At 38.8% G+C, this 18,568-nt stretch overlaps 1 protein-coding gene across 28 annotated transcripts in view, besides 5 other annotated features; it reads right to left on the minus strand.

Moving 5' to 3' along the window:
- The window catches only part of PRPF40A (pre-mRNA processing factor 40A), a 66,288-nt gene that overhangs the window by 40,348 nt on the left and 7,372 nt on the right, over positions 1-18,568 (minus strand). For 26 of the 28 annotated variants that reach the window (NM_001395477.1, NM_001395479.1, NM_001395473.1 and 23 more), the window contains 2 exons: positions 2,463-2,543; positions 959-989 (listed from right to left, as the gene is read on the minus strand). In NM_001395477.1, coding sequence (NP_001382406.1) covers positions 959-989; positions 2,463-2,543 — 112 coding nt within the window. Of the gene's footprint in view, positions 1-958; positions 1,398-2,462; positions 2,544-18,568 lie in introns of all 28 variants that reach the window. The other 2 variants (NM_001395483.1, NM_001395480.1) reach the window with 2 other exon arrangements.
- Positions 2,280-2,329: an enhancer, noted in NCBI's record as "active region_16650". NCBI's record gives its function as "activates an Ori minimal core promoter by ATAC-STARR-seq in GM12878 lymphoblastoid cells {active_cell/tissue: GM12878}" and the evidence as "EXISTENCE:reporter gene assay evidence [ECO:0000049][PMID:35858748]".
- Positions 8,796-9,423: an enhancer, noted in NCBI's record as "H3K27ac hESC enhancer chr2:153557389-153558016 (GRCh37/hg19 assembly coordinates)". NCBI's record gives its function as "activates a minimal SCP1, AML or CMV promoter by ChIP-STARR-seq in primed H9 embryonic stem cells {active_cell/tissue: H9 hESC(primed)}" and the evidence as "EXISTENCE:reporter gene assay evidence [ECO:0000049][PMID:30033119]".
- Positions 8,796-10,109: a biological region, named in NCBI's record as "MED14-independent group 3 enhancer GRCh37_chr2:153557503-153558702".
- Positions 8,910-10,109: an enhancer, noted in NCBI's record as "MED14-independent group 3 enhancer chr2:153557503-153558702 (GRCh37/hg19 assembly coordinates)". NCBI's record gives its function as "activates an origin of replication core promoter dependent on BRD2, BRD4, P300/CBP and CDK7 cofactors, and independent of MED14, by STARR-seq in HCT116 cells {active_cell/tissue: HCT116}" and the evidence as "EXISTENCE:reporter gene assay evidence [ECO:0000049][PMID:35650434]".
- Positions 10,382-10,883: an enhancer, noted in NCBI's record as "H3K4me1 hESC enhancer chr2:153558975-153559476 (GRCh37/hg19 assembly coordinates)". NCBI's record gives its function as "activates a minimal SCP1, AML or CMV promoter by ChIP-STARR-seq in naive H9 embryonic stem cells {active_cell/tissue: H9 hESC(naive)}" and the evidence as "EXISTENCE:reporter gene assay evidence [ECO:0000049][PMID:30033119]".

An 18,568-nucleotide genomic window follows, 5' to 3' on the forward strand; every position in this document is an offset into this window, starting at 1 on the left:
GTTCGGCATCTGGAATATCAATTTATGTGGAAAACTATGTAATCATGATACTGGAGGCATTACTATTATATATTAAAATCTCACTAGTCAAAATGGCCAGTTATTGGGAACTGATATTTACTCCAATGGCTATTAATACAAGGGCCAAGGAGATGACAGAAAAGTAACTCTGAAGTAGTCTAGAACCCCAAGGAGAGCCCAGACTAAACACCTAAAGAATGGAGCCACTACGTCATTCTAGTGTTTGCTGAGTACAAATATCAACTCAACCAGAGTTCATTTAACGTATATTCTCTGAGCACCTACTGTGTTGACAGGACTACTGTTAAGTATTGAATAGTCAGATCATCCAACTTTTCAAAATAAATTCAAACTCAAAATCTGCAGACTATAAATGTTAGCGATAATTACAAAATTGAAGAACTTTGTGTGGGCCAAAGTATATCTGCAGACCAAATTGGGTCCAGAACTCCTGACCTAAAACTGTAAAAATTTCCTAAGAATTCAATTATCGCTGGGTGTGGTGGGCCATGCCTGTAATCCTAGCACTTTGGGAGACCGAGGTGGGTGGATCACGAGGTCAGGAGTTCGAGACCAGCCTGGCCAATATGGTGAAACCCTGTCTCTACTAAAAATACAAAAATTAGCCAGGCATGTGCCTGTAGTCCCAGCTACTTGGGAGGCTGAGGTAGGAGAATCGCTTGAACCTGGGAGGCGGAGGCTGCAGTGAGCCGAGATTGCACCACTTACTCCAGCCTGGGTGACAGAGTGAGACTCCGTCTCAAAAAAACAACAACAAAAACAGAATTCAATTATCAATCCTATCCCAATTTCCTATTGCAGAAAAAAGAAAAAGGAGGTTATATAAAGTCCAAGAGATCCTGCTTTTACTCCTCATAATAGGGCTGCTACTGTCCAAATGAGGTCTAACACATACCACCATACAGAGTATACGTACCTGCTGCTACATCCATACTATTTACTCCTGGCTGTAAGAAGAAAAATGAAATTAGTATTATTCATCTTTTTAAAAGTGTATTTTATATAAGTTCCTCATAAAGCACAGTGAAATCAGTACCTGCTATGTATAATCCTCAAGCCTCTGACTCATATTCTTAGCAAAACTTTTAGTGGTCTCAGTTCCCCGAGCTTGCTATAAATTGTAAAAGAGATCAGCAACCGAGACTACGGGAGTAGTTTAAATGTTATATGGTCACCAAGTGTACACAAGGTCCTCAATCCTTTACCCACAATTCTGGAAACCAAAACCCTCTGAAAGCCAACTTTTTTCAAGTATGGTACCAAAACTCACTATAGTGGCAAAACCTGCCCTACATGAACATGAAACTCCACATCTTCATTTATCCCACTTCAGAGTGAATATCCGTTTAGTTTAGCTGCAAAAATATTAACATTATTAAGTTAGACAGCATTGCCCTGGACCCCACAGGAAATGTTTACATATTATATGCAATGTGTTACTTTCCAGTATTATAAAGAATTTTTGAAATATATCTGGTCTTAGGGTTTTGGGAAAGACACTGCAAACTTACCACCCCAAGGAGTATGCCACATCTGTTTATTACAACCACAACCACATAAAGAATAAAGAAGTTAAACTAACTTGAATTTCATAGTAATTTATATTGCTATACTACCCGACAGAGGTGGTAAGGCTGTTCAATAGATTTTCTAATTAATTTGCCACAGCTGAAGTCTCAGAACGTGGATTTCCAATTAAATATTGATTCCTAAATCTAGTATTAAATCACATTATACCAATTTTTAATTAGCGTTCAGTGAAGTAAATGTTTACCCTTTAAAACTTAAATGTTATCAGACCAATAAAATGCTTCTGGCTCACAATGTATACTTTTCAGTATTCTGGTCTTAATACAGAATTAACCTAGTAATTAAGGATGTACATATAATATCAATATAGGAAAAAATGTAAACGTCTATCATTGTAGTTATAGAAACTAAATCCAGGACAAGCACAGTGGCTCATGCCTGTCATCCCTGTGGGAGGCCGAGGCAGGAGGATCATTTGAGCTCAGGAGTTTGACACCAGCTTAGGCAACACAGGGAGACCTCATCTCTACAAAAAAAATTTAAAAATTAGCTCGGCGTGGTGGCACGTGCCTGTGGTCTCAGCTACTCAGAAGGCTGAGGTCGGAGGATTACTTGAGCCCACGAGGTTGAGGCTGTAGTGAGCTGTTATCATGACACTCACTGCATTCCAGACTGGGTGACAGAGCAAGACTCTGTCTCAAAAAAACAAAGAAAAGAAAAGAAACTGAAACTGAAAGTCCACGGTAATTCTTGTATTTTATTACAGTACTACAGAGGCACTTCAACAGCTAACATGATTGCCTATAAAATACATAGATATTATTCCATATATATAAAAGCAATCAATCAAAACATTACTTCACAGAAAATAGTTATTTTCACATGATTACCGGTAAGGCAGGCTGCATGGAAGCCTGAGACATATGAGACATCATCATTCCAGGCATTACTGACGACATCATTCCAGGCATCTAAAATAAAAGTAAAAAAAGGTTACCATAAGACCAAAGCACTTAATATGACTTTAAGAATCCCATAACTTAAGATTTAAAACCACTAAACACTACACCATGTGAATAGTATGCTTAGTAAGTGCTTGTTGAATGAATGAAGTACTTTATCGATAATCTATTTTAATACTTATGTCACAGTTTATATATATGGTCAAAATTATTTTAACAAGTAAATTTAAAAGTTTGGACTATTATGTTATTTCTAGCCTGAATTTAAAAAAACATTAATCTCCTTTTAGTTATAACACAACATTCATATTTTTCTCACTTCTTTGGAGCAAGAGAATTTAAGATAAAATTTTTTCTGTATTTTTCACCTTTGATTTTTAATATATGCACTGAATAAATTTTACAATGTGGCACATTTCAAAATCCTAGATCAAAGGTGCTTAATATCCAAACAATGACTTAAAAAATAATCTAAAAAAACCCTTTTTAAGTCACACGTCATTTATCCCCTCTCATGTACAGAAAACTTAAGGCACATACATAAATATCTGAAGGTATTAGTTTGGGAGCTCAATCTAGTTTACCAATAACTACCATTCAAATCTATGAATTAATTCTACTAAGTTTGAATATAAATCCTGAAAATTAACACAAGTTTCTCAAGAATTTGACCCAATGTTCATCTATATTAGTATAATCCCACGTTCCAATTTTGATTTTAATGACCATTAAAAAGATCTAAGGAAATTCAGAAGGGGACAAAAATTACATACAATAATCACAGGTATTGGAACAAGGTAACCAGTTATTAAACAATTTCAAAGTAAATGAACATTTTGAGAAATAGAAACAACAGAAAAGAATAAGCATATGGCCAGCAGGAACATATAGATTGAAGCCTTTTAAAGGTATGTAAGAACATTCATACACTGAATTGTATTCCTTGTGAAAGTAACCCATGAAGCTAAACGAGGCTAAAGTACCTATTAAAATAAAGTAGCATTGAGTTAATGGGTTAAAAACAACCAATAAACTGTCTAAACATCATTAAACAAGAACTTTTTGACAAAAATTGTGACTATAAGAATGTGGTGGCTGACTTGGAATATGGTCCAAATAATATGTATTTTTTTCTAAGGTATAGAATTTGAAAACTGAAGCACTGGCAAGCCTCCATCATCCAGACTAAGAGAATCAGATAAATAATTTACAAAGTAAGGAGAAAAAATACAACAATCAAATGAGAAAGAACTACAACTAGGCTTACTCCCAGCCCATACATCTCCCGCCAACAGATATATCCTCATAATTAATTTTGCTTTAGGCCAATGTAAAATACGCTGAATCAGGTAACTGGTTGTGTGGGAAAGCAACCAAGATGCATGACAGGCAACAGGGAAACTGCCTGCTACTTTAAGTAACCTACATATAAAATCAAAAGCTAGTAACATAACCAAAACTAGAATTCTAAGCTAAATTGAGATCAAGGTCTGAAAACTTAGAGAGAAAAACTAATCAAAGTAACTTCTCGGAAGAATTAAAGGTATTTTTTAAAGTAGAGTAAAATCTGCATAATGCAATAGAACAGTCTCTCGCCGGGCGTGGTGGCTCACTCCTGTAATCCCAACATTTTGGGAGGCCAAGGCAGGCGGATCATGAGGTCAGGAAATCGAGATCTTCCTGGCTAACACGGTGAAACCCGTCTCTACTATAAATACAAAAAATTACCCAGGCATGGTGGCACGCGCCTGCAGTCCCAGCTACTTGGGAGGCTGAGGCAGGAGAATCACTTGAACCTGGGATGCGGAGGCTGCAGTGAGCTGAGATTGCGCCACTGCACTCCAGCCTGGGCAACAGAGAGACTTCGTCTCAAAAAAAAAAAAAAAAAAAAAAAAATTCTCTTATGGTAGCAGCAGACTGTACAAATAAATATAAATTCAAATTGAAATATCCTGACTTTATCACACACATAAAGATAAAATCTTCTTTAAAACCAAAGCCACAAAAAAACAAATATTTAAGAGTTTAGTAGACCAGGCCAATGAGACCTCCAGTAGGCAGTAATTGAAAATCACTGAAGAACATAGAGTCTGACAGAGTTCTCTCTTTAATTGTTCTTCTTCCCATACCTAAAATGTTTAAACACCTCAAAAATGTTCTTTCAGACTGGAAATCATGGTATTGATTATAGAATGAGATTTAATGTCAAATAAAAAGCTACATTCTCCCTTGGTATCTCTGTAAATACTGGGGGTGAAGACTAGTTAATCTTGTTTTACCCAACAAACTAATCTGCAAGTCCTAAATTAAATATAACTGAATATCCTGAGAGTAAATCGATCATTCATTAATGTAATTTAAACCAAAACTGTGATGTTTACATAAAACCAAAGAACAAAACCACAAATATGCAAAATACTGTATTTTGTATGAAAAACTATTGTAAGAATTTGAGAAATTTAGAGTTCCTTTAGAGGACTGAGCATCCCAGAAAAGTCTGTTTTTCAAAGTCTAAAAAACCTACTTTGTGGCAATGTTATGATTCCCATTTTCTATTAATTCTAGGATATACATAACATAGAGATACTTTTTATAATCTCTTTCTTTGAAGCTGAATCTTTTAAAGAATTTGTGTTGATTTATGCCAGTCACTTTGGCAGCACCATCAATCTGAGACCATTAAAAGTTTCTAAGCTATCTATAACACTTACTGTTAATGGGAATACAGGATGCAAACTTATGAGAATTGGCTACGGCTCAACTCCTCAGACGTGATTTTTTCCTCCCTCATCCCAATAATAAGAGTTAAAACATTCAAATTTCTTTACTGTCTCCTCTGGCATGGTAGGTATAGTTCTTCTTTCCATGGAGGGTATAGCCCTTTGGTGTCTCAACTTTATCTGTTGAGTAAGTTTCAGATTTTCCATTTAGGTGTTTTTTTTTTCCCACTTTTAGGGGCACATAAAATACAGTCATGTGTCATTTAATGACCGTATGTTCTGAGAATTGTGTCATCAGGAGATATCATCATTGTGTATCATATAATGCACTTACACAAACCTGGATGGTTATAGTCTACTACACATCTAGGCTATTATGGCATAGCCTATTACTCCTAGGCTACAAACCTTTATAACATGTTACAGTACTGAATACTGGAGGCAACTGTAACACAATGCTAAGTATTTGTATATCTAGACATAGAAAAGACATAGTAAAAATAAGGTAGTATATGATCTAACAGCACCACCATTGTGTATGTAGTCTGTCATTTACCAATATGGCACTATGTGGCACACAAATGTAATACTGTGTCTCTCCATTTAAGTTCAATGAAAATGGGATGTTGCTTCAAAATACTGAAGGTGAAAAATTATTAACTTAGTTGCTACAATAACGCCACAACAAATTCCATGAGCCACATCATTCTTAAGGCTACAAAGTGGTAGAGTTCATATTTACTTAATGTGAAGCATACTATAAAATCAAAACCATGTACTGCTTTACAAATTCCCATTTAAACAACTTTGGTATTATATGTAAAAGTGCTGTAATTAAAAATTTTTAGTTGTTTGAGACATAAACTAAATTTCCTAAAATGTTAAACATCTGAATATTATGAACAATTTGGCACCTTTAAAAAACGTAGCTGATATATATTTTATACAATTCATAAGTGGCCAACCATATGTATATTTATACTATGTAAACCATTTCTGTTTCCTATTCTTTTAATACGTATAAAACTAATTATCAAGATGTTCTCAGAAGAATCATCAGTTTGAGGAAAATAAAAAATAAATGAACAAAACACTAGGGAGCATCACACAACCTGTTCAGTCATTCTGAGCATCCCAGAAAGTTTCTAATGTTAGATATAAACAAACATATTTCATTTATCACTCTACATATTTTAAAAAATGAAAATAAAAAGTGGTAGTAATGAAGCAATATCAATGCTACAGTGAGTGAATTTTACAAAGTGTAAATTCAGTTGGTCCAATTTTACCATGATATGAAAAGAAAGCACCTTAAAAGTGAAGAACTTCACATGGGGACTTCACAAGTTCTTTCCTTCATAGTTATTTACTGAAGTTTTTCCTACCGGAAAGAAATCACAAACAATTGGACGTATCTCTTGTCTAGTATTACAAACAAAATCACCTGAAAAAAAAATTAACTCCTAAATCTGGTGGTTTTTTAAAAACCATTCTTGCTGCAAACCTGTAGCAGCAAATTGATAATCTAAGTAAGTTTCATGTCTACCTTTTTACTTGGGGTTCTTCATAAGTGTGCTAAAGTAAAATTCCGTAAGATAAGTACAACCTACAAAGGCTGTTTAGTATTTTAAAACAACTATCTCATATACCACTAAATTATTTTATGAACATATAAATAAATACCAAAAATCCTGAATAAATGCACAAACTGAATCTTTAAAGAGAACTAAACATTCATTCGATCGGAAATAAATGGAAATATCCTTAGCAACCAAAAGTAACTGGTGGCATTTTGTGGAAATCATTTAACCTACTTCCTCTTCATCTAAAGCAAGCCTGTCCAACCTGCAGGCCATGGGCCACATGTGGCCCAGGACAGCTTTGAATGTGTCTCAACACAAATTTGTAAGCTTTATTAAAACATTGTTTTTTTGGCTGTTTTTTTTTTTAAGCTCATCAGATATTGTTAGTGTTAGTGTATCTGATGAGTGGCCCAAGACTATTATTCTTCTTCCAAATGGCCCAGGGGAGCCAAAAGATTGGATACCCCGATCTAGAGCAATATAAATTCAAAACATCATTTTTTGATAAGAAATATTTAGATAAATAAAGGGTAGACAATATTTGTACAAATTGTTATCATGCAGAATAGAACCTTACCATGTAATAAAACAAGTGCCAGTATTCAAAATTTGCTAAACTTTCTCAACCTACAGAATTTAGAACTGCTGAAGTACAGCAACCCCTTCAGGGTCTAACGAAATTAACTCAATTACATAATCTTATACTGATATATATAGATAATGCAGTCTGAAGGAAGACTGGAAGAATTCTTATCCCAATTAACAAAGGTGCGATCTTGGGCTAATTTATTTGACCTCTCTGGACCTCAAACTCTTCATCAATGAGAAAAAACATTACCCATCTGATAAGATTATTATAGAGAACAAATGGGATAATACAGATGTGGCACTTAGAAACGGGCTTAATAAATAATATAATAGGCATTATCAGTGCTCTCCATTTAATCAAGGTATATCTTATGTCATCCCTTCCCTCATCTATTCCTTATCTAGCTCTCAAGTACTTCAGTTCTTTTAAGGTGTCTAGGGAAAATATTGTAAAACCATGATAATATTCAATAGAAACCAATCCATGTTAATAAGTCAATCTCAGATTAAGATCATGTTTAGTGCTGGCTCTGCAATGTCACTGAATAACTCACTAAACTCTCTGAGCCTTCCTATTCCCATTTGTAAATTGGACATCCAATCCATCTAGCCAATCCACTTTTCAGTCAGGAGGATCAAATTCAATAGGCTACATGAATCTCTCTAAGTTTATATAAGCATGGTGACAGTTATAATTCTTGACACAAATTATGTGACACAATTTAGAAATAGAGCTAAATGACAATGAACTGTATCACTTTATATTTTAAAAAGCTCTAATCGTAACTGGGGATACACAAAAATTGTATTGCCTCAAGCCATATAGAATGACTTTAAAACTTACTCTAAAAAGTCATCAAAGCCTTCTTTTAGACAAAAGTGTACAAGGACACAAGACCATTATTATCCCCTTCCCCAGGTCTCTCAAATTAGATTCAGTAGCATATCAAGCTAAATCTTTATACTTTATTTCAGTATAAGGGTCTAATTTTCTATACCTAAGAAATATATGATCACAAATACACGATGACTTAGAGATTACTGAAAAATCATCTTTCGAAGAAGTAACAACTTTCTTGATTCCGCATGGCCAAATGGGTGTTTGCAAACAAGAACTTAATGCTCATTCATTTATCAAAAGCTAGTTTTAAAAGTCTTAGCCTAAATTTAAGATTAAGACCTAATGACAAGGATCCCATTCACAATGTAATGTGAATTTTGTTTAAAAAGATCAAAGTTGGCCAGGCGCGGTGGCTCACGCCTGTAATCCCAGCACTTCGGGAGGCCAAGGTGGGTGGATCACGAGAAATCGAGACCATCCTGGCCAACATGGTGAAACCCCGTCTCTACCAAAATACAAAAAATCAGCCAGGCATGGTGATGCGCACCTGTAGTCCCAGCTACTTGGGAGGCTGAGGCAAAGGAATTGCTTGAACTCGGGAGGTGGAGGTTGCAATGAGCTGAGATTGCGCCACTGCGCTCCAGCCTGGCGACAAAGCAAGAGTCCGTCTCAAAAAAAATAAATAAATAAAAAATAAAAATCAAAGTCTAAGATAAATGTAAGATTTTCGTTAAAATAAAAACAAAAACCAAAGCCTAAGACAGAGCAAACTGAATTTCAACTCAAGACAGTGTTCACTAGTTCTTCATGACTAACAGAATCATTCAGACTGGGAGAAGATTCAGATTCCCACTTTGAGTACACTGAGCAAGAAAGCAGCAGAAGTGGCTTTCCTTTTAAATCCACCAATGCAAAATATCATGACAGAGATGATAAATTCCTCTTCAAAAGGTTTTAATTCCCAGTTCTTCCACTTCGTTTTTCTGGTTTCTGTAGTTATCCATGCTATAACTAACCCTTCCTGCCCTTGCCGCGCCCTGACATGCCTAGACATGTCTTACGCCATAACGCATAGCCTTCCCCTTCCCGCCTAGATATCTGTGTTCAATTACAAACAGCAGCCAATCGAGTCAGTTTAGATTGTGCAGTCCAACCCTAGCCAATAGGGGAAAGACACAACAGTAGGGACCAGCTGTTAGGAATAAGAACCCCTTTCCCTCCCTTGTCCAGTGTGCTCTTGCCATTGCTCCATCCGCGAGACACACCCTTCTACAGAAGTAAATTGCCTTGATGAGAAAACTTTTGCCTGAGTATATTTTCACTTTGTGACACCAAGCATTTACTTCCAACAATTTGGGGGCCCACCCAGGATTCCCATTCTCCTCCGGGGAACCGGTCTCTGGTCACTTCTTGTGGGGAGGCGCATCCCATCGCCTTGTTGCAGTGGCCTCAGTGTGAGAGATTGGAACCCATCCAGTGCAACAAATAAACCCAGACTCTCGGCAACAAGAAAAGATACAGGCCAGCAGCTTGGCAAAAGGATTCTCACATGCTGCAGCAACCAGGTAACTCTGCACAGACCAAGGTAAGAAATGTTGCAGGGGTGACAAAGTATTTCCTTGGTGGTTGGGATATTCTGGAGGATGAAAGTGTGTGTGAATGATCACAAGCACTACTGCTTGCGGTGCTGCTTGTGTGAATGGTACCAAGCACTACTGCTGTGCAGAGTGAGTGGGTCCTATCTGCAGTTCTGTGGTCACTTCATACAGCTTAGGGCGGATCCTGCTGTGGGTTTCATACCGGCATGCCAATGCCAAGAGGGGCCTAAATTCCCACGAGGGAAGTAGCCAGAGTGGACAAAGCAAAAGAAGGATGCAAGGATCCTCCAGGAGGCGGGGTTAAAGGATAGGCAAGAAATCTCTAATACAAGGGACTGAGCCTTAACAAGCCTCCAGAGAATAGGCAAGAAGTCTCTAATACTAGGACCTGACATGGGAAATACCCTAAGCAAGACAAGGAGTAAAAAGGATAAAGGTAGCAGTAAAGATATTGCCCCGATAGTCCCCTAGGTCTCATGTTAAAAGACTGGAAAGATAATGAGAAGACTAAACATAAGCAGCAGCAATTACTGTTTTATTTGGACTCAGGGACCCATCCTCAAACCCTCAATCTTCTGGCCAAAGTTTAGGTCAAATGAGAGTGCGATGTGTCAGCTTTTGATTCAATATGTCAATGATAAAAGCCCAGCTTCTTAAGAGGAAATGGACTATGCTCTTTGTTGGAGGCAGGGACCTGTCCTCCTTTTTCCCTTTGAGACAACTAGGAAAGAACCTGATCTAGCATCACAAAAGGAAAAATTAGGTAAGTTAGTTCCAATGCTCAAAGACTCCAGCACATGGGATCCCCTAGACCATCTTCCCCCACTCAGTGACCCCAACCCCTCTCCTCAGGCAGCCGCTGCTGCCCCAGATCCCACTCTAGATCCTTCACCTACTCATGTTACTCCTCCTCCTTACAATCCTGACTTTTAGAAATTATCATCCCAGGAGCCTGTCCCCTATCAGCCTAAGGACCCCTCCCTAAAGGGACTCCAGTGTGAAATAGAGCAATGTAAAAAGGATATCCAGAACTTCCCTTTCCCCTCTACAACTCAAGAGTCAGCCCCTGCTCTCTTTCCCTTAAGAGAAATGCCATAAAGAGGGGGAACCATTGGCTCCGTGAATGCTCCCTTAATCAGTTCAGAGGTCCAGAATTTAAAGAAAGAGCTTAAGCCACTGCAAGATGACCCTTATGGAGTGACAGATCAAACTGATCAATTTTTAGGACCTCAGTTATACACTTGGGTAGAGTTAATGTCCATCTTGGACATCCTCTTTTCAGGAAAAGAAGGGAGTGTGATTCGTAGGGCTGCTATGGTAATTTGGGAACGTGAGTGTCCTCCCAGTCAAAAAGTTCCTACTGTGAACCAGAAATTCCCCGCCCGAGACCCCCAGTTGGACAATAAAAACATGCAGGACCTAAGGGAGATGATAATAAAAGGAATTCAGGAATCAGTACCCCAAACCCCAAATCTCTCTAAAGCATTTGATATATAACAAAAAAAAAGGATGAAGGGCCTATGAGATTCCTAAATAGACTGAAAGAGCAAATGAGACAATATGCAGGCCTCAATTTAGAAGATCCCCTTGGGCAAGGAATATTAAAACTCCAATTTGTCACTAGAAGATGGCCAGACATCTCAAAAAAAATTACAAAAGTAGAAAATTGGGAAGACCATCTCCTAAGTGAACTTCTCAGGGAAGCTCAAAAAGTATATGTGAGAAGACATGAAGAAAAGCAAAAACAAAAGACAAAACTTATGTTATCCACCTTCCAACAGATGACTCCAAACCCATATACTTCTAAACAGAGCTTCAAGGGGCCAGAACCATAAAGGGTCCAAATACTCCTTTAAAGGACTAAGGACCTTGTTTACCAGGCCCTCTAAAGAGTATGGGGAAGCAAAGTCAAAGAATCCCAGAACTGAGAGGGGGTAAGGGCAAGATAGGTGCTACAAATGTAGAAGAACAGGCCACTTCAAGACAGAATGTCCTGAATTTAAAAAGGAGAAAGAAGCCCTTCCACTCATGACTTTCGAGGAAGAATACGGGGGTCAGGGGCCCTGTCTCTTTTATCTTGAGTCCCACCAGGAGCCCTTGATAAATCTAGAAGCGGGACCTAAGCATGAGCTTATCACCTTTTTGGTCAATTCAGGGGTGGCTCATTCCTGTTTGTTTCCCCCCATCTAATATTGCCTACAGAACTTTTGGTAACTGGGGTAAAAAGAGAAGGATTTAAAGAAAAATTTTAAAAAACACAGAAGTCAGATACCAGGATCGATCAGCTCATATTCAGTTTTTGTTAATCCCTGAGGCAGGGACTAATTTATTAGGGAGGGATTTAATGCTGAAGTTAGGCATAGGCCTACAAGTCAGCCCAAGAGGATTCCTCATCTCTTTAACCTATTCATCACTGCAGATGAAAAATACATTAATCCTAATGTCTGGTCCAAAGAGGAGAACTGAGGGAAACTCCGAGTCTCCCCAGTCCACGTCAAGGTAAAACCCCCCGGGGAAGTTGTAAGGAGGAAACAATACCCCATATCCAGAGGACATGATAGGGTCGAAACCTATAATTAAAGGTCTTATTAAAGATGGGCTTTTTGAGCCCTGTATGTCCCCTTATAACACCCCAATATTGCCAGTCAAGAAATCAGACGGATCATACCGGCTGGTACAGGACCTTAGAGCTATTAATCAAATAGTCCAAACTACCCACCCCGTTGTCCCCAGTTCTTACACCATTCTCAGCAACATTCCATTTAATCATCAATGGTTTACTGTAATAGATTTAAAGGATGCTTTTTGGGCACGTCCCCTGGCTGAAGACAGTCGAGATATATTTGCTTTTGAGTGGGAAGGTCCCCATTCAGGGCGGAAACAACATTATCGATGGACAGTCTTACCCTAAGGGTTCACAGACTCCCCTAACCTTTTTGGTCAAATTTTAGAACAAGTATTAGAAAAAGTTGTCATCCCAAAACAAATATGCCTACTCCAATATGTTGATGATATTCTTATATCTGGTGAGGACATACAGAAAGTAACTGGCTTCTCTACACATATTCTTAACCATTTGCAGTTCAAGGGGTTACGAGTCTCAAAGGAAAAGCTTCAGTATGTGGAGCCTGAAGTTAAATATTTAGGCCACTTGATAAGTGCAGACTAGGGCCCGAACAAGTTGAGAGAATTGTGTCCCTACCCTTGCCTCAAACTAAACAAGAACTCAGGAAATTTTTAGGGTTAGCTGGATGTTGCCACTTATGGATTAACTCATATGCACAGTAAACTTTCATATCAAAAACTTCCCCAGGGGAAGCCTGACCATCTCCTGTGGACTTCTGAGGAAGTCGATCAGGTCAAAGAGCTGAACGAAAGGCTCATAACTGCCCCTGTCTTAGCCTTACCTTCCCTAGAAAAGCGTACCACCTTTTTGTGAACATGGATAATGCGGTAGCTTTGGGAGTGCTTACTCAAGAACACAGTGGCTGTCGGCAGCCCGTGGCCTTCCTGTCAAAAGTCTTAGATCTAGTTACTTGTGGATGGCCTCAATACATCCAATCCATTACAGCTACAGCAGTATTGGTCAAAGAAACCAAAAACTTAACCTTTGGAGAAAAATTGACAGTAAGCACGCCCCACTAAGTTAGAACTATCTTAAATCAGAAAGCAGGGAGGTGGCCTGCTGACTCAAGAATCTTAAAAGTATATGAGGCTATTCCGTTAAAAAAAAAAAAGCTGATTTAACATTAACCACTGATAATTTGCTTAACCCAGCAGGTTTCCTAACAGGGGATCCAAATCTAAAGAAAAAACACACAGGTTTAGATTTAATCGATTACCACACAAATGTCTGACCAGACCTAGGAGAAACTCCCTTCAGGACAGGAGGACACTTATTATAAATGGTTCCTCCCAGGTGATTGAGGGAAAAAGACACAATGGGTATTCAGTAATTGACAGAAAAACTCTCAAAGAAAGAGAGCCAAAAAAATTGCCCAGTGATTGGTCTGCCCAAACTTGCGAGCTGTTCGCACTCAGCCAAACCTTAAAGTACTTGCAGAACCAGAAAAGACCCATCTGTACAGATTCTAAGTACACCTTTTGAGTGGCTCATACATTTTGAAAAATTTAGACTGAACGAGGCCTCATTAATAGTAAAGGTCAAGACCTTGCTCATAAGGAGCTAACCACTCAAGTATTGAATAACCTTCAGTTGCCAGAAGAAATACCTATTGTCCACATCCCCAGACACCAGAAAAGCCTTTCTTTCGAAAGTCGAGGAAATAACCTAACAGATCAGATAGCCAAACAGGCTGCCGTTTCCTCTAAAACACCTATTTTTCACTTAACTCCTTACCTTCCTCCTCTTACCGTGATCCCCCTTTTTCTTCTAATGAAAAAAAAAAACCCTAATAACAATAGGTGCTAAAGAGAATTCAGAAGGAAAACGGATGTCGCCAAACCAGAGAGAAATGTTATCCAAACCCCTTATGAGGGAAATCTTATCCTAACTGCATCAAGAGATCCATTGGGGGCCCCAAGCCATGTGTGACGGAGTCCTCAGTTTATGGGAGCACAGAAATTTATACCCTGGCCAAACAGGTTACAGACAGTTGCTTAGTTTGTAAGAAAACTAATAAACTATAAAAAGATTACCCCTTATGGGAAGGAGTCCAGGCTTCAGTCCATTCCAAAGTATCCAGATTGATTACACAGAGATGCCTCCAACAGGGCGTCTAAAATACATACTAGTGACAGATCACCTCAGTCACTGGGTCGAAGCTATCCCTTTTCAAATGCAACAGCCAATAATGTAGTTAAAGCCTTTACTAAAAATATAGTGCCTAGGTTTGGGTTAATAGAAAATGCTGACTCAGACAGTGGAACCCATTTTACCACACACATCATTAAAAAGCTATCCCAAACACTAGACATTAGATGGGAATATCATACTCCTTGACACCCACCTTCATCACGGAGGGTAAAAAGAATGAATCAAACTCTGAAGAACCACTTAACCAAGTTGGTTCTGGAGAATTGATTACCATGGACCAAATGTCTTCCTATTGCCCTGTTAAGAATCCAAACTGCCCCTTGGAAAGATATTCATCTTTCCCCTTACGAGATGCTCTATGGAATGCCTTATTTACACTCCATTGCGGACATTCCTACCTTTGAAACAAAAGACCAATTCCTTAAAAATTATATACTTGGTATATCTTCTACTTTCTCTCCTCTTAAAACCAAAGGTCTCCTAGCACAGGCACTGTCCCTGGAGTTCCCAGTACATCAACATCAGCCTGGGGATCACGTCCTCATCAAAAACTAGGACGAAAAGCTCAAACTGGCCTGGAAAGGACCATACCTAGTGCACCTAACTACTGAAACCACAGTCCAGACAGCAAAAAAAGGATGGACCCATCACACCCGAGTCAAAAAAGTGCCGCCCCCTCCAGAGTCATGGGCCATAGTCCCAGGGGAAAACCCTACCAAACTAAAGCTAAGGAAAATTTAACTCTCTTTCATCTATTCTATTACTCCTTCTTCTTTCCTCTCTATTGCTGATCACCTCATTATTAATGTAACCGAGTCAATTTCGCCTCAAACTATTATATTTGATGCTTGCCTTGTTATACCCTGTGGAGACTTGACACGTCGAAGCAGCTCTCCACTCCAAAAAAGTACCTCTGTCCTTCCTGGCTCTGCTCAGACTGGATATTAGTGAATCGGGATCATTTAGTCTGGAAAGGTTTCAATAAAGACCCCAATGTCAACTGGGAGTATTGCCCCCCACACCCCGCCAAGACAGAGCTTTTATGCTGCAGTTGGTCCAATGTTCTGTAGACCAATAAAGAGCACAGATGGACTGCCCCAACCAGTAGTTGTAAACGTTCTGTAGACCACTAAAGAGCACGGATAAACTGCCCCAACCAGTAGCTGTAATTTCCTAAAGCCATACATTCACTTTACTAAAGAAACAGCTTCCCCTAGCTGTGAGCTAAACCAGTACTGTCCAATACAGGTTATTATCTCAAACCCTCCAAGTTCTTCCCCTTCTATAAGCCGGTTCCCTTCTTTAAGCCAGTTTTATGGCATGGGGGCTGAGGTTTCAGGAACAGAACCTATTGGATCCTTTGAAATATGCTGCATTGATCCCCTACTGCCTACACTTTCCCCTAAGCCTTCTTCCAAAACCTCTCACAACAAAACTATTGCTCCTCCTCCATCTAATGAAAAGACCAAGGTAGCTATTGTAGAAGTTAAAGACCTAAAACAAACTTTGGCAACTGAGACAGGATATCAAGATGTGAATGCTCTTAAATTTAAAACTCGAGATCAAATAGCTGCAGGATTTGAGTCAATATTTTTGTGAGTGACAACTAATAAAAACGTAGATTGGATAAATTACATTTATTATAATCAGCAGTGGTTTATAATTACACCACGGATGCTGTCAAAGGGTAACAGAACAATTGGGGCCCACTAGCCAGATGGCCTGAGAAAACAGAATGGCCCTAGATATATTAGCCAAAATAGGGGATGTTTGTGTTATGATTAAAATTCACTGTTGTACCTTTATCCCAAACAACACTGACCCCACTGGGAACATAATAAGCGTCTTACAAAGACTTACCGCTTTATCCAATGAACTAACTAAAAATTCTGGAGTCGATAACCCTTTCTCAACATGGCTAGAGAGGTAGTTCAGTAAATGAAAAGGAATCATAGCCTCAATCCTTCTCTTACAGCCATTATAGGTGTGCTCATTCTTACAGGATGCTGTATCATACCCTGTACTCATAGTTTAGTGCAAAGACTTATAAAAACAGCTCTCACCAAAACCTTCCTCAGCTCTCCTCCACCTTATTCAGATAAACTCTTCCTTCTCCTAGACATGCATTGTGTCATAATGGATAGCCTTTCCCTTCCAGCCTAGACAGCTGGGTTCAATTTCAAACATTAGTCAACTGGGTCACTTTAGATTGTGCGGTCCAACCCTAGCCAGTAGGGGAAAGACACAACAGTGGGGACCAGCTGTGTTAAGAATAAGAACCTCTTCCCCTCCCTTGTCCATCTCACGATTGCTCCATCTGCAAGACACACCCTTCTACAGAAGTAAACTGCCTTGCTGAGAAAACTTTTGCCTGAGTGCTATTTTCACTTTGCAACACTGAACATTCACTTCCAACAATCACATCTCTAATAACTGCTAAGTACAACTAACTTGCTTAAAATAAGTGATACATAATGTACAAGTACTTGACCAGACAGCGAAAGAAGGCAAATACAGGTTGAGAGGCCTTTATACAGAATGCTTGACACCAGACTGGGATTTTTTCAGATTTGCAGATATTTGCCTTTTTACCTACTGGTTGAGCATCCCTAATTCAAAAATCTGAAACATTCCAATGAGCATTTATTTCGAGTGTCATGTTGGCACTCAAAGTTTTAGATTTTGGAGCATTTCTGGTTTCCAGATTACAGATACTCAACCTGTATAAAATATTCATAGCCACTAGATTTCCAAATGTACGGAAATACCATAACAACCAAATCAGCAGTTAGAAGACAAAAATGAGTTCAAAATGGCATCTCAGGAATGACCTCCTTGAGAGCAGGGCATACATCACCTGTACACTAGGTACCACACCCAAGATACTTAAATGTGTACTGAATAAAAGAAAAATAAAGGTAAGGAAAAAAATAAGAATGAGACTGATAATTTCTACTTGGAATGTCATCTATTAATTCCTACTTATAAACCTTCACAACATGGACCTATTTCTCTAGGTTAAAAACAGGTTGGGCAAGGCGGCTCATGCCTGTGATCCCAGCACTTTAGGAGGCCAAGGCAGGAGAATCACTTGCGCCTTGGAGTTCGAGACCAGCCTGGCCAACATGGCGATACCCTGACTCTACTAAAAATACAAAAATTACCTAGGCATGTGGCACGCACCTGTGATTCCAGCTACTTGGAGAACCTGGGAGGATGAGGTTGCAGTAAGTGGAGATTGCACCATTGCACTCCAGCCTGGGTGACAGACACTCTGTCTCAAAACAAACAAACAAACAAACCCCAAAATCCCTAGTACACTGCTATGGTGTAGCATATGTACCAAATCTTTTTTTTTTTTTTTGAGACAGTTTTGCTATTGTTGCCTAGGCTGGAGTGCAATAGCGCGATCTCAGCTCACTGAGACCTCCACCTCCCAGGTTCAAGCAATTCTCCTGCCTCAGCCTCCCAAGTAGCTGAGATGACAGGTGTGCGCCACCATGTCCCGCTAATTTTTGTATTTTTAGTAGAGATGGGGTTTCACCATGTTGGTTAGGCTGGTCTCAAACTTCTGACCTGAAGTGATCCATCCACCTCGGGCTCCCAAAGTGCTGAGATTACAGGCATGAGCCACCGTGCCTAGCCTCAAATCTTTACTATCTATTAATACTACTATTAGTCTTATCATGATATTCAACAAGCCTAATTTAAAAATCAAAGGTTAATCTATTGACTTGTTTCCTCTTTTGATCCACTATCTAATGAATACATTCATTGCACTACACAAGCTGTTTCGTTTATGCATATGTGTGTTAACACTAACTTATTTTGATGTTGCCTTTTTCTCCTAAAGAGCAAACTAAAAGAATAAAGGGCCCTAATTCAGCATTTCTCACAAAATGCTAATTTCATACAATGTGCTACACA

This window comes from Homo sapiens, chromosome 2 (assembly GCF_000001405.40).
Source record: "Homo sapiens chromosome 2, GRCh38.p14 Primary Assembly".
Lineage (NCBI taxonomy): Eukaryota > Metazoa > Chordata > Mammalia > Primates > Hominidae > Homo > Homo sapiens.